Raw genomic sequence first — 17,053 nt, 5'->3', positions numbered from 1 at the left:
TCAGGTGACTGTGTTCTAGAATTACAATGAATTGATGTTTCTCAAATATTTATATATGTTGTTTTATGATTAAACATATAGCTTAAAGTATTAAATATTGATTAATTTTGCTCTCATTTTTCAGTGCTAATGAAGGCACGGGACATTTTAAGGTATTTTACTTTTTTTTTCATTCATTTCACAAGAGGACTCTGTAGCACACAAATTCGAGTCAGATTAGCAACCAAATGGAGATTGTATAAATAAGTTATTTAAATATGAAGTACATTTAATAATATTATAGATTTATGAATAAAAGTTATTAAGTAGGGATTTGTTCATTCAGAACAGTAGTCTAAGGAAAATTAAGTGAATACTTTTTAAAACTAAAACCAAATGCTATGTTAATTTGGTGATAAAAAATGTCTCAAAGCATTTTTGCATATTTGGCATTTAGAATTAAATATGAGCTTAAAATTTTATTTGCATGTAACATTTTTTGCTCAAGTTATTTTGCCCTACTTGTTACTTCAATTATTCACTGAAGTTTTAGAGGTAAGAATGAACTCCTTTGTAACATATTTAAGTTCAGAGTTGATTTAAAGATTCCGAAATCACAGGTAACATTGTATACAGTGTTACTACTATAATGTGAGTCATCAGGAAAAGGTAACTTTTTAAAAAGGGGTAAATCAGACCTTATAGTTTCTTGGGAGGTAAATATACAAGGAATAGGTGACTTTGATCTGTTTAGATTTTCAGTGACTTTGTCAAGTGTCTGTACTGAAAGTTAGGTGAATTATACCTAGTTGGATATACTGTACTGTTTTATGAACACACTAGCTCAGAGACATGAATTAAAGCATAGGAATAGATAGGTAATTCTCTGGGTGAAGCATATTATACATGTGTCTCAGAGATTGATGTGATAGAGGGAATGCAGTTTTAAGTCCTCATGATTTTTTTTTTTTTTTTTTTTTAAATGGAGTCTTCCTCTGTTGCCCAGGCTAGAGCACAGTGGCGCAATCTTGGCTCACTGCAACTTCCGCCGTCTGGGTTCAAGCAATTCTTGAACCCAGCCTCAGCCTCCTGAATAGCTAGGATTACAGGCATGCACCACCACGCCCAGCTAATTTTGCATTTTTAGTAGAGACGGTGTTTCACCATGTTGGCCAGGCTATTCTCAAACTCCTGACCTCCGGTGACCCACCCACCTGGGCCTCCCAAAGTGCTGGGATTACAGGTGTGAGCCACTGCGCCCGACCATAAATCCCCATGATTTTTGATAGCGTTGAACCTCTTCTAAGTTGTAAAACATCAAACCGGTGGTGTTCAGCTTTAGGAAATTCTCGTAGCCATGTAGTGGGTGGGATAGTGGCAGATACGTTTTTGTATGGTTTAAGCACCAGGATATATGCTACCAGTGTTCCCTGAAGACGCCTGTCTAATAACCTGTAGTAGTCAGTCCAACAGAGTTTTAAAACCTCATGAAGAAAGAACTAGAGAATGAATTGAAATATTAGGCCGGGTTCGTTGGCTCACATCTGTAATCCCAGTACTTTGGGAGGCCAACTCAGGAGGATTGCTTGGAGCCAGGAGTTCAAGACCAGTCTGGGCAACACAGGAATACCCTGTCTCTATCAAAAATAAAAATGTTAGCTCTGCATGTTGGCATGGGCAGTTCCAGCTACTCAGGAAGCTAAGGTGGCAGGATCACGTGAGCCTAGGAGATTGAGGCTGCAGTGAGCTGTGATTGCGTCACTACACTCTAGCCTAGGTGACAGAGTAAGACTCTGTCTTAAAAACAGAAAAGATAAAGTATTAGTCTACTGCTTCCTCAGAAACACATGTGCAACCCAGAATATATAGTTGTGGTTCTTACACATGAAAAAACATGGTAGCAATATCACCTTGAAGTGTTCTTGCCAAGACATATAGGAAGGTGACTATGCTTCTAGATTTAATTACTAATTTACAAGAAATACAGGGGACACAGAGATGTATTAGGCCGGGCGCGGTGGCTCAAGCTTGTAATCCCAGCACTTTGGGAGGCCGAGGTGGGCAGATTACGAGGTCAGGAGATCAAGACCATCCTGGCTAACAGTGAAACCCCATCTCTACTAAAAATACAAAAAAAATTAGCCAGGCGCGGTGGCGCGTGCCTGTTGTCCCAGCTACCCGGGAGGCTGAGGCAGGAGAATAGTGTGAACCTGGGAGGCGGAGCTTGCAGTGAGCCAAGACCTCACCACTGCACTCCAGCCTGGGCGACACAGCGAGACTCTGTCTCAAAAAAGAGAGAGAGAGATGTATTAAATGACACTGAAGGAATATAATAAGCCAGATCAAGATAGTGGAAAACTACATAGCAACCAATTCTGTTTCTTCAGCAAATAAATTAAAAAGGAAAGAGATGAAGAATAAACCTACAGATGAAACCTATTGAGAAAAGTAACTTAAGGGACATATAAATTAATTACATTGTGTGCACATTATTTGGATTTGATTTGAAATATATATGTATTTTTAATAATCTCAAATTGGGCTGGGGACATTGGGTCATGCCTGTAATCCTAGCACGTTGGGAGCCCAAGGCAGGTGGATCTCCTGAGTTCAGGAGTTCGAGACTAGCCTGGCCAACATGCCAAAACTCTATCTCTATTAAAAATACAAAAATTAGCCAGGCGTGGTGGTGGGCACCTATAATCCCAGCTACTTGGGAAGCTGAGGCAAGAGAATCACTTGAACCCGGAGGGCAGAGAACTTGGCGAAGTGAGCTGAGATCATGCCACTTCACTCCAGCCTGGGCAAAAGAGCGAACCTCTGTCTCAAAAAACATAATAACCCCAAACTGGAAACAGTGTATATAACCTATTAGCTGATGAATGGATAAACAAAATGTATTTTCATATAATAGAGTATTATTTGACAGTAAAAAGGAATGAAGTACTGATACATGGTCTGACATGGGTAAACATTGAAAACATGATGCTAAGGAAAAGAAGCCAGTCACAAAAGGCCATCCATATATTATATGATTTCATTTATCTGAAATGTGCAGAACAAGAAAATCCACAGGAGCAGAAAGCAGATTAGTGGTTGTCAGAGGCTTGGGGAAGAGGCTGAATGGGGAGTGACTACCAAGAGGTACAGGTTTCTTTTTTTCTTGTTGGAGATGGAGTCTCGCTCTGTCACCCAGGCTGGAGTGCAGTGGCGCAATCTGGGCTCACTGCAACCTCTGCCTCCCAGGTTCAAGCAGTTCTCCTGCCTCAGCCTCCCAAGTAGCTGGTATTACAGGTGCGCCCCACCACGCCCAGCTAATTTTTTGTATTTTTAGTAGAAACGGGGTTTCACCGTGTTAGCCAGGCTGGTCTTGAACTTCTGACCTCAGGTGATCCACCCGCCTTGGCCTCCCAAAGTGCTGGGATTACAGGCGTGAGCCACCTTGCCCAGCCAGGCGTCTTTTTAGGGTAATGAAAATATTCTGAAATTACATAGCAGTGATGGTTGCAAAATTTTGTAGATATACTAAAATCCATTTAATCGTACACTTTTAAAGGGTGAATTTAATGGTATGTGAATTACATCTCAATAAAGCTGTTGATTTTTTTTTAATACCTAAGCCAAGATTCGATAGAAACTTTGAATAGAAACATTGTTTGTAATTTGCTTGGTGTAAACATTTTGGGGATATAAAAATGTATCTGGTTGAAACAATATATGCTTGTCCAGGCACGGTGGCTAACGCCTGTAATCCCAGCACTTTAGGAGACCAGGACGGGAGGATCACTTGAAGTTAGGAGTTGAGACCAGCCTCGGCAACATGGGGAAACCCTGTCTCCACTGAAAGTACAAAAATTAGCCCGGTATGGTGATGCATGCCTGTAATCCCAGGTACTCAGGAGGGCTGTGGCAGGAGAATTGCTTGAACCCGGGAGGCAGAGGCTGCAGTGAGCCGAGATTGCGCCACTGCATTCCAGCCTGGGCTAAAGCAAAACTTCATCTCAAAAAAAAAACAAACAAACAAAAAACAGGCCGGGCACAGTGGCTCACACCTGTAATCCCAGCACTTTGGGAGGCTGAGGCGGGTGGATCACGAGTCAGGAGATCGATACCATCCTGGCTAACACCCGTCTCTACTAAAAATACAAAAAATTAGCAGGGCATGGTGGCAGGCGCCTGTAGTCCCAGCTACTCGGGAGGCTGAGGCAGGAGAATGGCGTGAACTCAGGAGGCAGAGTTTGCAGTGAGCCAAGATCGTGCCACTGCACTGCAGCCCAGGCGACAGAGCGAGACTGTCTCAAAAACAAACAAACAACAAAAAAACTGGCCGGGCACGGTGGCTCACACCTATAATCCCAGCACTTTGGGAGGCTGAGGTGGGCAGATCACCTGAGGTCAGGAGTTTGAAACCAGCCTGGCCAACATGGTGAAACCCTGTCTCTACTAAAAAAACAAAAATTAGTGTGGTGGCTCACGCCTGTAGTCCCAGCTACTTGGGTGGCTGAGGCAGGAGAATTGCTTGAACTCGGGAGGCAGAGGTAGCAGTGAGCCAAGACCGCGCCATTCCACTCCAGCCTGGGCAACAAGAGCAAAACTCCATCTCAAAAACATATATATGTATATGCTTATGTTAGAATTTTTGTTTAAGCCCGTTACTGGTTATATTTTTTTCATGAAATCTTTGTTTCAGTTTTCTCTTTTAGTAATGACAGCCCTATAAAACAATAAAATCATTTTCTACTAGGTTTAAGAAATTGGGGCCGGGTGCGGTGGCTCACGCCTGTAATCCCAGCACTTTGGGAGGCCAAGGCGGGTGGATCACCTGAGGTCAGGAGTTTGAGACCAGCCTGACCAATATGATGAAACCCCATCTCTACTAAAAATACAAAATTAGCCAGACGTTGGTGGCGGGTACCTGTAGTCCCAGCTACTTGGGAGGCTGAGATAGGAGAATCACTTGAATCCAAGAGGCAGAGGTTGCAGTGAGCCGAGATTGTGCCACTGCACTCCAGCCTGGGTGACAGAGCGAGACTCCATCTCAAAAGTTAAAATCCGCCGGGCGCAGTGGCTCACGCCTGTAATCCCAGCACTTCGGGACGCTGAGGCCGGTAGATCATGAGGTCAGGAGATCGAGACCATCCTGGCTAACACAGTGAAACCCTGTCTCTACTAAAAATACAAAAAATAGCGTGGTGGTACACGCCTGTAGTCCCAGCTACTTGGGAGGCTGAGGCAAGAGAATCGCTTGAATCCGGAAGGCAGAGGTTGCAGTGAGCCACGATCGCTCCACTGCACTCCAGCCTGGGTGACAGAGCAAGACTCCATCTCAAAAACAAAAAACAAACAAAAAAAGTTAAAATCCTGTACATAAAGAGCAAAAATGATGCAAATAATCTTAGAGACAAATGGCTCACAACACTAACAACTCTTCAGTGCTTACTATGTGACAGGTATTTTTATTATTTACATACATTAACTTATTTTCATGATAATTGTATGAAGCAGGTGCTATTTTTATCTATTTTACAAATAGAGACACAGACAAGTTCAGGAACTTGCCCAAAGACTCACTATTAGAAAATGGCAGAACCAGGGTTTGAGCCCAGGTGTCTGCCTGGAGTGCCTACACTCAACACCTATTCTGTATGCTGTACTGTGGTAATAACGGGCAGACCATTTATCAGTTGCTCAAGTATAACAAGCAAGCCCAAGACACCTAGAAAAATAAAATACCTATCTAATATAGACTCTGAGTTTTAGTTGGGAAAGTTCTCAAGAACAAACTACTGTACAGATAGGAAAGCTGAGTGCTGTAACATGGAACAAATGTGTGCCTCGGTTCCCTAGGTAGCCATTCTAGGCTCCCAGTCTGTAAGTCCTAAAAAAACACTTTGTGCTTTTCCTGTAAGGGACTGTTTAGTTCTGATTACTTCAGCTTTTTATTTGCATGAGGTCGTAGCATCGTTAGTTGTCTCAGATCGGAGCTGGGTAAGCATTAGTTTTTACTTTCAAACTCTGTCATCTACTTATCACCTCCTACACCTCAAACTATTGGGTCCCACATTCCAGCCACATGTGTCTAGATAGTGATCTTTTTATTTTTCACTTAAAAAAGAAATCCCTGGCTGGGCGCAGTGGCTCATACCTGTACTCCCAGCACTTTGGGAGGCTGAGGCGGGTGGATCACGAGGTCAGGAGATTGAGACCATGCTGGCTAACAGTGAAACCCTATCTCTAATGAAAAAAAAAAAAAAAATTAGTTGGGCGTAGTGGTGCACGCCTGTAGTCCCAGCTACTCGGGAGACTGAGGCAGGAGAATAGCGTGAACCCGGGAGGCGGAGCTTGCAGTGAGCTGAGATTGCACCATTGCACTCCAGCCTGGGTGACAGAGTGAGACTCTGTCTCAAAAAAGAAAAGAAAAGAAAAAAAAAAGAATTCCCTTTATTATGAAAATTTTAAAACTTATACAAAAGTAGGCAGAATAGTATAATGAACTCCCATGTACACACCACTCCAATAATTATAAATTCATGTTAAGTGTCCTTTTATGGCAACATAATAATGATACTACAGTTTTTTAAATTAATGATAATCCCTTGATCAGATATTCATGTACTACTTAAATTTCCTAGATTGTCCCCTGAAAATTGTTGATAGTTTTTCAATCAGGATTCAGTAAGGTCCATACATTGTAATTGGTTAATGTATTTGTCATTTACACCCCTTAATGTTTTTTAGTCTCGCCATTCCTTCTCCATCTTGTTTTTTCTTCCTTGCAGTTTTTTGGGTTTTTTGTTTGTTTGTTTGTTTTTTAGACGGAGTTTTGCTCTTGTTGCCCAGACTGGAGTACAATGGCACGATCTTGGCTCTCTGCAACCTCTGCCTCCCAGGTTCAAGCGATTCTCCTGCCTCAGCCTCCCGAGTAGCTGGGATTATAGGCATGTGCCACCTTGCCCAGCTAATTTGTATTTTTAGTAGAGACGGGGTTTCTCCATGTTGGTCAGGCTGGTCTCGAACTCCTGACCTCAAACAATCTGCCTGCCTCTGCCTCCCAAAGTGCTGGGATTGCAGGCGTGAGCCACCATGCCCGGCCTCAAAGTTGTTTCAGACATTTGGTATTGGGTGTTTTCTCTGTGTCTTTAAAGTGTAAGTTCAGTACTTGAAATGAATGAATAAATTTTACTCTGAGTTTTGTTTTTTCAATGAAACATTAAAATAAACCAGCAAGCCTATTTAGAAAAATTGTTGACATACTTTTCAGAAAGGGAAAGCTAAGCAGAATTTCCATTTTTCTTCTCTGATATGTGTATTAACTTGTTTCATAGTAAGTTTTTTCAAGAGTCTATTGAATCATCTTCGCTATAAAATTTTCTTTAATGTTTACACATTACATATATATACACATACGTCATGCATGTACAGGTATATTTAACCTAAAAATAGTTTTATCTGTCTGTTTTTGTAGCCATTGGAAAAGAAGTTTGTTCGAGTTTCAGGAGAAGCAACTATTGGACATGTAGAAAAATTCCTCAGAAGAAAAATGGGTCTTGATCCAGCTTGTCAGGTACAGTACATATATGTAAAAGAATAGGTAAAGTTGTGAGCTTACCTTTAGCACACTGTAGAAAGAACTCTGTAGGATTTCATGCAATTATTTTTGTTATTTTTGTTTTATGATGTTGTAGACATTGTTTTTTTTTTTTTTTTTTGAGATGGAGTCTTGCTCTGTCGCCCAGGCTGGAGTGCAGTGGCACGATCTCAGCTCACTGCAAGCTCAGCCTCCCGGGTTCACGCCATTCTTCTGCGTCAGCCTCCCGAGTAGCTGGGACTACAGGCACCTGCCACTGCACCCGGCTGATTTTTTTTTTGTATTTTTAGTAGAGAAGGGGTTTCACTGTGGTCTCGATCTCCTGACCTCGTGATCCGCCCGCCTCGGCCTCCCAAAGTGCTGGGATTACAGGCATGAGCCACCGCGCCTGGACATTGTTAATGCTAATTGAATATTGATACATAGTGATTCACACCTCCAGCTTTAATCACATTTGATTTACTGTCCATTTCTTTTTTTGAGACAGGGTCTGTTTCTGTTGCCCAGGCTGAAGTACATTGACACGATCATGGCTCACTACAACCTTGAGGTTTTCCTGGGCTTGGGTGGTCCTCCCTCCTGTCTCAGCCTCCTGAGTAGTTAGGACTAGAGGCACATGCCACCATGCCCAGCTAATTTTTTTTTTTTTTTTTTTTTAAGAGATGCGGTCTTGCTTTTGTCCAGGCTGGTCTCAAACTCCTGGCCTCAAGTAATCCTCTTGCCTCAGCTTCCCAAAGCACTAGGATTATAGGAGTTAGCCACTGTGCCAGGCTAGTATCCATTTCCTACTGCCACTGATGGCAATCTATTAGTGTCATAGAAAAGCTGAAGATAGAAATATTAAAGAGGCCTCAGTTCCAGCTCTTTCCATTTTGGTAGTAGAGAAAAATATTGCTTATCATCCGCTTTCTTTATAGGACATCCTTGCATTTATTAGTTGTTCAAGTATAACAAGCAAGCTCGGCCAGGCGCAGTGGCTCATGCCTGTAATCCCAGCACTTTGGGAGGCTGAGGTGGGTGGATCACGAGGTCAGGAATTCCAGCCTGACCAACATGGTGAAACCCTATCTCTACTAAAAAATACAAAAATTAGCCGGACCTGTTGGCACACACCTGTAATCCCAGCTACTCAGGAGGCTGAGGCAGGAGAATTGCTTGAACCTGGCAGGCAGAGGTTACAGTGAGCCAAGATTGCGCTACTGCACTCCAGCCTGGACGACAGAGCGAGACTCCGTCTCAAAACAAAACAAAACAAACAAAAAAACAAGCAAAGCTCAGGACACCTAGAGAAGTGAAATATTTTTATCTAATAGGGACCCTATTATTTTATTTTATTTTATTTTATTTTATTTTATTTTATTTTATTTATTATTTTGAGACTGAGTCCCACTCTGTTGCCCAGGCTGGAGTGCAATGGCGTGATCTCGGCTCTCTGCAACTTCCGCCCCCCGGGTTCAGGCGATTCTCCTGCCTCAGCCTTCCTGAGTAGCTGGGATTACAGGCAGGTGCCACCATGCCAGGCTAATTTTGTATTTTTAGTAGAGATGGGGTTTCTCCATATTGGTCTGGCTGGTCTCGAACTCCTGACCTCAGGTGATCCGCCTACCTCGGCCTCCCAATGTGCTGGGATTACAGGCGTGAGCCACCATGCCCAGCTGACCCTATTAGTTTTTTTTATGGATTAAAAGAGATCTCCTGTTCTAGCTATGTAATATTTTCTTTTTTTTTTTTTTTGGTTTTTTTTTTTTTTGAGGCGGAGTCTCACTCCGTTGCCCAGGCTGGAGTGCAGTGGGGCGGTCCCGGCTCACTGCAACCTCCGCCTCCCGGGTTCAAGTGATTCTCCTGCCTCAGGCTCCTGAGTAGCTGGGATTACAGGCCTGTGCCACCACACCTGGCTAATTTTTGTATTTTTAGTAGAGACGGGGTTTCACCATGTTGTTGGTCAGGCTGGCCTCCATCTCCTGACCTCGTGATCCTCCCGCCTCGGCCTCCCAAAGTGCTGGGATTACAGGCATAAGCCACCGCGCCCAGCCATAATATTTTCTTCTTGTTGTACGATGGAAACCTCAAACTTCATGTATCATTGAACATAAAAGTAAAATATACTCATAGTTCTAGTTCTGTGGTCCAGTTAGTAAAAATGAACATTTATATAGCTTTGCTTTTTCTTTTTTTTTTTTTCATTAGTCAAATTTAAAAAGCCTTTTTGTTATTCTCCATCATGTGTTAAGTTTTATAGAATAATTTTTTATCTAAAATACTGTGTATTGTGGCTGGGCACAGTGACTCACCTATATAATCCCAGTACTTTGGGAGGCCAAGGCAGGTGGATCATTTGAGGTCAGGAGTTTGAGACCAGCCTGGCCAACACGGTGAAACCCTGTCTCTACTAAAAAATGAAAAATAGCTTGGCATGGTGGCACACTCCTGTAATCCCAGCTACTCGGGAGGCTGAGGCTGGAGAATTGCATGAACCTGGGAGACGGAGGTTGCAGTTAGCCTAGATCATGCCATTGCACTCCAGCCTGGGCGACAGAGTGATAATCTGTCTCAAAAAAATAGTAAAATAAAATAATAAAATACTGTATTGTTAGTTAAATTAATAGATATGTTAAAACAGTGACTGGCCATGTGTAGTGGCTCATGCCTGTAATCCCAGCACTTTGGGAGGTCGAGGCAGGTGGATCACCTGAGGTCAGGAGTTCAAGACCAGTCTGGCCAACGTGGCGAAACCCCGTCTCTACCAAAAATTAGCCAGGTATGGTGGCGCACACCTGTAGTCCTGGCTACTCAGGAGGCTGAGGCAAGAGAATCGCTATTACCCGGGAGGTGGAGATTGCAGTGAGTCAAGATCATGCCACTGCACTCCAACCTGGGCGACAAGAGGGAGACTCTATATCAAAAAAAAGAAAAGGGGCCGGACGCGGTGGCTCACACCTGTAATCCCAACACTTTGGGAGGCCAAGGCAGGTGGATCACCTGAGGTCAGGAGTTCAAGACCAGTCTGACCAACATGGTAAACCGCATCTCTACTAAAAATATAAAATCAGCCGGGCGTGGTGGCGCATGCTTGTAATCCCAGCTACTTGAGAGGCTGAGGCAGGAGAATCACTTGAACCCAGGAGGCGGAGGTTGCAGTGAGCCGAGATGGCGCCACTGCACTCCAGCCTGGGCAACAACAGCAAAACTCCAACTCAAAAAAAAAAGTGACTGAAAGTTTGCTAGTGTTTTTAGTACCGATATTTACTGGTAGTAAATATATACTAAATCCAGTGAAATATGACTTCTCTAACTGAGCTTGACATATCCTGGTTATATCTCATGGCAGCTGAAAACTAGAAATGACTTATTTTTACCTTGTAGCCACAGCACACTTGAGGTTATTCTTAGGTTTTTGTTAGAGACAAAGCTGGTTAGTGACTCCTGGATTAAGAATTATGAGTGATCCCATAACAGCCTGTTATTTCTAAAAGCAGAAGACTTGCCCTTATTATAGAAAAAGAAGTGATACCCAGGAGGACCCTCTCTAGAATACAGATTATTCTATGGCTATTTATGTGTCTGTGTGTGTGTATGTTTTGTGTTTTGTGGGTTGTTTTTTTTTTTGTTTTTTGTTTTTTGTTTTTTTTTTGGTGGCAAGGATAACATACTGTGTTGCCCAGGCTGGACTTTTTGTGTGTGTGTGTGATACAGAGTCTTGCTCTGTCACCCATGCTGGAGTGCAGTGGCACAGTCTTGACTCACTGCGGTCTCTACCTCCCGGGTTCCAGCAATTCTCCTGCCTCAGCCTCCCAGGTAGCTGGGATTAGAGGTGCATGCCACCATGCCCGGCTAAATTGTTTGTATTTTTTAGTAGAGATGGGGTTTCATCATTTTGCCCAGGCTGGTCTCAAACTCCTGGCCTCAAGTGATCCTCCTGCCTCAGCCTCCCAAAGTACTGGGATTACAGGCATGAGCCACTGTGCCCAGCCTGTTTTTTTAATTGACAGAAACAAAATATTTTGGGCTGGCCGTGGTGGCTTGCACCTGTAATCCCAGCACTTTGGGAGGCCAAAGTGGATGGATAGCTTGAGCCCAGGAGTTTGAGACCAGCCTGGGCAACATAGCGAAACCCCAGCTCTACAAAAAATACCAAAATTAGCTGCACACAAAATTAAGCGCACACCTGTAATCCTAGTAGTCCTAGCTCCTAGGGAGGCTGAGGTGGGTTGAGCCTGGGAGATCCAGGCTACAGTGATCCATGATTGCACCACTGCACTGAGCCTGAGCGACAGCAATACACTGTCTCAAAAAAAATAAAAATAAGTGAAGTGAAGGCCAGGCAAGGTGGCTCACCCTGTAATCCCAGCACTTTCAGAGGCCGAGGTGGGTGGATCACCTGAGGTCAGGAGTTCAAGACTAGCCTGGCCAACATGGTGTAACCCTGTCCCTAGTAAAAATACAAACATTAGCCGGGTGTGGTGGCACATGCCTATAGTCCCAGCTACTTGGGAAGCTGAGGTGGGAGGATCCCTTGAACCTAGGAAGCGGAGGTTGCAGTGAGCTGAGACCATGCCACTGCACTCCAGCCTGGGTGACAGAGTGAGACTCTGTCTCAAAAAAAAAAAAAGTGAAATGAAATAAATAATATCTATTTATTGTATACAACATGATGTTTTGAAATATGTATACATTGTGGGATGGCAAAATTGAGCTAATTAACATACCATTACCTCACATTTTTTGTGGTGAAAACACTTGAAATTTCTATTCAGCAATTACAATATATTATTATTATTATTATTGTTTGTTTCTTTGTTTTTGAGACGGAGTCTCTGTCACCCAGGCTGGAGTACAGTGGCGCGATCTCGGCTCACTGCAAGCTCCGCCTCCCGGGTTCATGCCATTCTCCTGCCTCAGCCTCCTGAGTAGCTGCGACTACAGGCACCCACCACCACGCCTGGCTAATTTTTTGTATTTTTAGTAGAGACAGGGTTTCACCATTTAGCCAGGATGATCTCGATCTCCTGACCTCGTGATCCGCCCACCTTGGCCTCCCAAAGTGCTGGGATTACAGGCATGAGCCACCGCGCCCAGCCTACAATATATTATTACATATAGTCACCATCTTGTACAGTATTTCTCTTCTAAGTTGATTTTGTTACCTAAAAATGTGGGTTTCTTTTTTGCTTACATCATAGAATTTAAGGCTTTTAGCATTTTGAAATAAAATGATATAAAGGCTCATACCTGTAATCCCAGCTACTCTGGAGCCTGAGGTAGGAGGATCACCTAAGCTTGGGAGGTCAAGGCGGCAGTGCATGATGAGACCCTGTCTCAAAAAGAAAGATATAAAATTTGTTTCAACCTTTAATTTTCTTTGTCAGCTCTTGGCTCTCTAAATAAATATTCTACCACTCAGCTACTGTATAGCTGGTAATGTTCATAAATTATTATTTAACCAAAATGTTAGAATTATCAAATATACAGACCCATTAATTGGGGACTAAAATTGTTGAGGCCTAAATTTAAGGTAGAGTAAGTAATTAAGAGTTACTTCTAATATGAACAAAACATTGAGCTGGTTTGCTAGTCATCAGACTACAATTCTTGGTGTCCTGCAGTCACGAGCCTGCTATGCTGACTTTCTTTGAACCAGTTAGTCCCAGGTGGGAAATGTGTGCATGGTTTACAGATATGTGACCTTCATTTATGGTTATTTACTAACAGGAACGAGTAATTCCCACGGGACTGTTAAACTTTAAAGTTTTTTGTGGCAGATCAAATTTTAAAAACAAGACAATTCCAAAAGTTTAAAAAATACAGATCTTTTTTTTTTTGAGACAAAGTTTCACTGTTTTTGCCCAGGATGGAGTGCAATGGTGCGATGATGTCGGCTCACCGCAACCTCCGCCTCCTGGGTTCAAGCGATTATCCTGCCTCAGCCTCCTGAGTAGCTGGGATTACAGGCATGCGCCACCATGCCTGGCTAATTTTCTAGTTTTTTTAGTAGACAGAGTTTCTCCATGTTGGCCAGGCTGGTCTTGAACTCCCAGCCTCAGGCAATCTGCCCACCTCGGCCTCCCAAAGTGCTGGGATTACAAGTGTGAGCCACCGCGCCCGGCCATCATGTGTTCTTAAGAAAGATTTAAGTTCATTTAAAATTTAGAGATCAATAATTATCCAAATATGTTTCTTTCTCATAGAGACTCCAGTGTCTCAGGGTTACTGTGGTTGATTTAGTGGTATTTACTCTTTGATGTCTTATTGTATTTTGCTTTGTTTGATATTCAGACCTTATTTTGCTTTTATGAGATGAAATTTAGAACATACACCTCACATTGATCACTAAAAATTCTTCTATAAGATGTGATATTTGATTTTGTTAATCCTGCCATAACTAATTCCATCTTAAAAGTTAGGCTGGCCAGGCATGGTGGCTCATACCTGTAATCTCAGCATTTTGGGAGGCTGAGGCGGGCGGATCACGAGGTCAAGAGATGGAGACCATCCTGGCCCACATGGTGAAACCCCATCTCTACTAAAAATACAAAAATTAGCTGGGCATGGTGGTATGCACCTGTATAGTCCCAGCTACTCGGGAAGATGAGGCAGGAGAATCACATGAATCCAGGAGGTGGAGGTTGCGGTGAGCCGAGATCGCACCACTGCACTACAGCCTGGCGACAGAGCAAGACTCCATCTCAAAAAAGTTAGGTTATTATTATTACTTATTTGGTGTATGATATTAAGCCTTCTATTAAATTTAGTTTCCAAATAATTTTTTAAGGACTAATATATGATGTTTCCATACCATTTATTATATATTGTTACTAAATTGAGGGTCTATGTATTTGACCTTAGGAGTACAAAGATGAGACAAAATTCATGCCATCAGGGGACTCAGAATTTTGTAGGAAAGATATATAAGTAAACAACTAACTAACAATAGGATGTAATGAATGCAACAGTGGAGATAACACAAAAGTGAATGATTTAACTCAGGAATGGGTTTGAAGAACAAATAGGAATTTGCCAGACACAGAAAAAAAGAACTTAGTAGCAAAGAAGAGTATGTATGGCCAGGTCCGGTGGCTCACGCTTGTAATCCCAGCACTTTGGGAGGCCGAGGCGGGCACATCACAAGGTCAAGAGATCGAGACCATCCTGGCCAACATGGTGAAACCCCGTCTCTACTAAAAATACAAAAAAAAAATTAGCTGGGCATGGTGGTACGCCTGTAGTCTCAGCTACTCAGGAGGCTGAGGCAGGAGAATCGCTTGAACCCAGGAGGCGGAGGTGGCAGTGAGCCGAGATCCCACCACTGCATTCCAGCCTGGGCGGCAGAGTGAGACTCCATCTCGAAAAGAAGAGTATGTATGATCAAAGGAATGAGCCAGTGTGGCTTATCAAAGCACACTGATTGAAAAATCTTAACTTGGAAGCTCTAGCATGATCTTGCTTTTAAAAAGATGAGGACTTTTTCTCCTTTTAATAAGACTACTTTCATGGTCTGATTTCTGCTCTGAGATTCAAAAATATTTTTGTTATCTCTTCTTGATACTCCAGAGGGTAAGATATTATGCACAAAAGAGTTAACGTATCAGCCTTGAGGCTGCTGTCGTTAGAAGGGCCTGCTTACAAAGCTGGCCTTTGGCTATCGAGGAACTAGGCCTGCAAAAAGTTTCCTACACTAATGTGAAAAGTTTTCTAACTGCAATTTGGTAGTTGTTAGACAGCGAGTGCCAACAAAACCAACTTTTTTTTTCTTTTTTCTTTTTTTTTTTCAGACAGAGTCTCGCTCTGTCGCCCAGGCTGGAGTGCAGTGGTGCCATCTCAGCTCACTGCAGCCTCTGCCTCCCAGGTTCAAGCCATTCTCTGCCTCAGCCTCCTGAGTAGCTGGGATTACAGGCGACCGCCACCATGCCCGGCTAATTTTTTTGTATTTTTGGTAGAGACAGGGTTTTACCATCTTGGCCAGGCTGGTCTTGAACTGCTGACCTTGTGATCCGCCTGCCTCAGCCTCCCAAAGTGCTAGGATTACAGGTGTGCGCCACCGCACCCGCACTTTTTTCTTTTTTTTTTTTTGAGATGGAGTCTCCCTCTGTTACCCAGGCTAGAGTGCAGTGGCGCGATCTCGGTTCACTACAACTTCTGACTCCCAGGTTTGAGTGATCCTCCTGCCTCAGCCTCCTGAGTAGCTGGGATTACAGGTGTCTGCCACCACACCCAGCTTATTTTTGTATTTTTTGTAGAGACAGGGTTTTGCCATGTTGGCCAAGCTGGTCTCGAACTCCTGACCTCAGGTGATCTGCCCGTCTCGGCCTCCCAAAGTGCTGGGATTACAGGCGTGAGCCACCGCACCCAGTTGATCCCATTTTTTTTAAAGCAAAAAATGAATAACAGAAAAACCCACATGCACACATAGTGTTCTAGGACCATACACATCAAACTCTTAGAAACTGACCAACCCCAGCTGGGTGCGGTGGCTCATGCCTGTAATCCCAGCACTTTGGGAGGCTGAAGTGGGCGGATTGCCTGAGTTCGGGAGTTCGAGACCAGTCTGACCAAGATGAGAAACCCCGTGTCTACTAAAAATACAAAATTAGCCATGCGTGGTGATGCATGCCTGTAATCCCAGCTACTTGGGAGGCTGAGGCAGGAGAATTGCTTGAACCCAGGAGAGGCAGAGTTTGCAGTGAGCCAAGGTTGCGTCATTGCCCTCCAGCCTGGACAACAAGAGCGAAACTCTGTCTCAAAAAAAAAACAGAAAAAAGAAACTGACCACCCTCTAGGGGCTAGGATTGAAGTGAGGATTTATCATTCTACTTTCTACAATTTTTTTTAAGTTTGTTACTATATACCTGTCTTTTTATTTATTTATTTATTTTGAGATGAGGTTTCGTTTTGTTGCCCAGGCTTGGGGTGGAGCGGTACGATCATATCTCACTACCTCAAACTCAAGCAGTCCTCCTGCCTCAGCTTCCCAAGCAGCTAAGATTATAGATGAGAGCCACAGTACCCAGCACCTCTGTGTTTTCTGAATTTGTTACAGTGAATTATTTTGTAAAGATTTTTGTAAAGCTTTTTACAAAAAATTTAAAGATCTGTAAAAATTCAAAGTTGAAAATATAGTAATAATACCGTGAATGTATACCACGTGGTATAAAGCCCACTAAGAGTGATAGTTTTTGGATTGCTAAATATTTAATGAAACATAGGCCCGGTGATTTGGCTCATGCCTGTAATCCCAGCACTTTGGGAGCCTGAGGTGGGCGGATCACCTAAGGTTAGGAGTTTGAGACCAGGCTGGCCAACATGGGGAAATCCCATCTCCACTAAAAATACAAAAATTAGCCGAGTGTGGTGGCGTGCCCTTGTAATCCCAGCTACTTGGGAGGGTGAGGCATGAGAATCGCTTCAACCTGAGAGGCAAGGGTTGCAGTGTGCTGAGATTGCGCCACTGCACTCCAGCCTGGGCGACAGAGTGAGACTCTTGTCTAAAAA

The 17,053-nt window shown here is 43.3% G+C and overlaps 1 protein-coding gene across 3 annotated transcripts in view; it reads left to right on the top strand.

The window, feature by feature from the left end:
* The window catches only part of PCGF6 (polycomb group ring finger 6), a 48,345-nt gene that overhangs the window by 17,064 nt on the left and 14,228 nt on the right, over positions 1 to 17,053 (top strand). For 2 of the 3 annotated variants that reach the window (NM_032154.4, NM_001011663.2), the window contains 2 exons: positions 125 to 152; positions 7,445 to 7,543. In NM_032154.4, the coding sequence (NP_115530.2) occupies positions 125 to 152; positions 7,445 to 7,543 (127 nt within the window). The remainder of the gene's footprint in view (positions 1 to 124; positions 153 to 7,444; positions 7,544 to 17,053) is intronic. The other variant, XM_047425832.1, reaches the window with a different exon arrangement.

Source organism: Homo sapiens, chromosome 10 (assembly GCF_000001405.40).
Source record: "Homo sapiens chromosome 10, GRCh38.p14 Primary Assembly".
NCBI classification, from domain to species: domain Eukaryota; kingdom Metazoa; phylum Chordata; class Mammalia; order Primates; family Hominidae; genus Homo; species Homo sapiens.
Note: the sequence above shows the minus strand (reverse complement) of the source record. Positions and strands in the feature narration are given on the sequence as shown.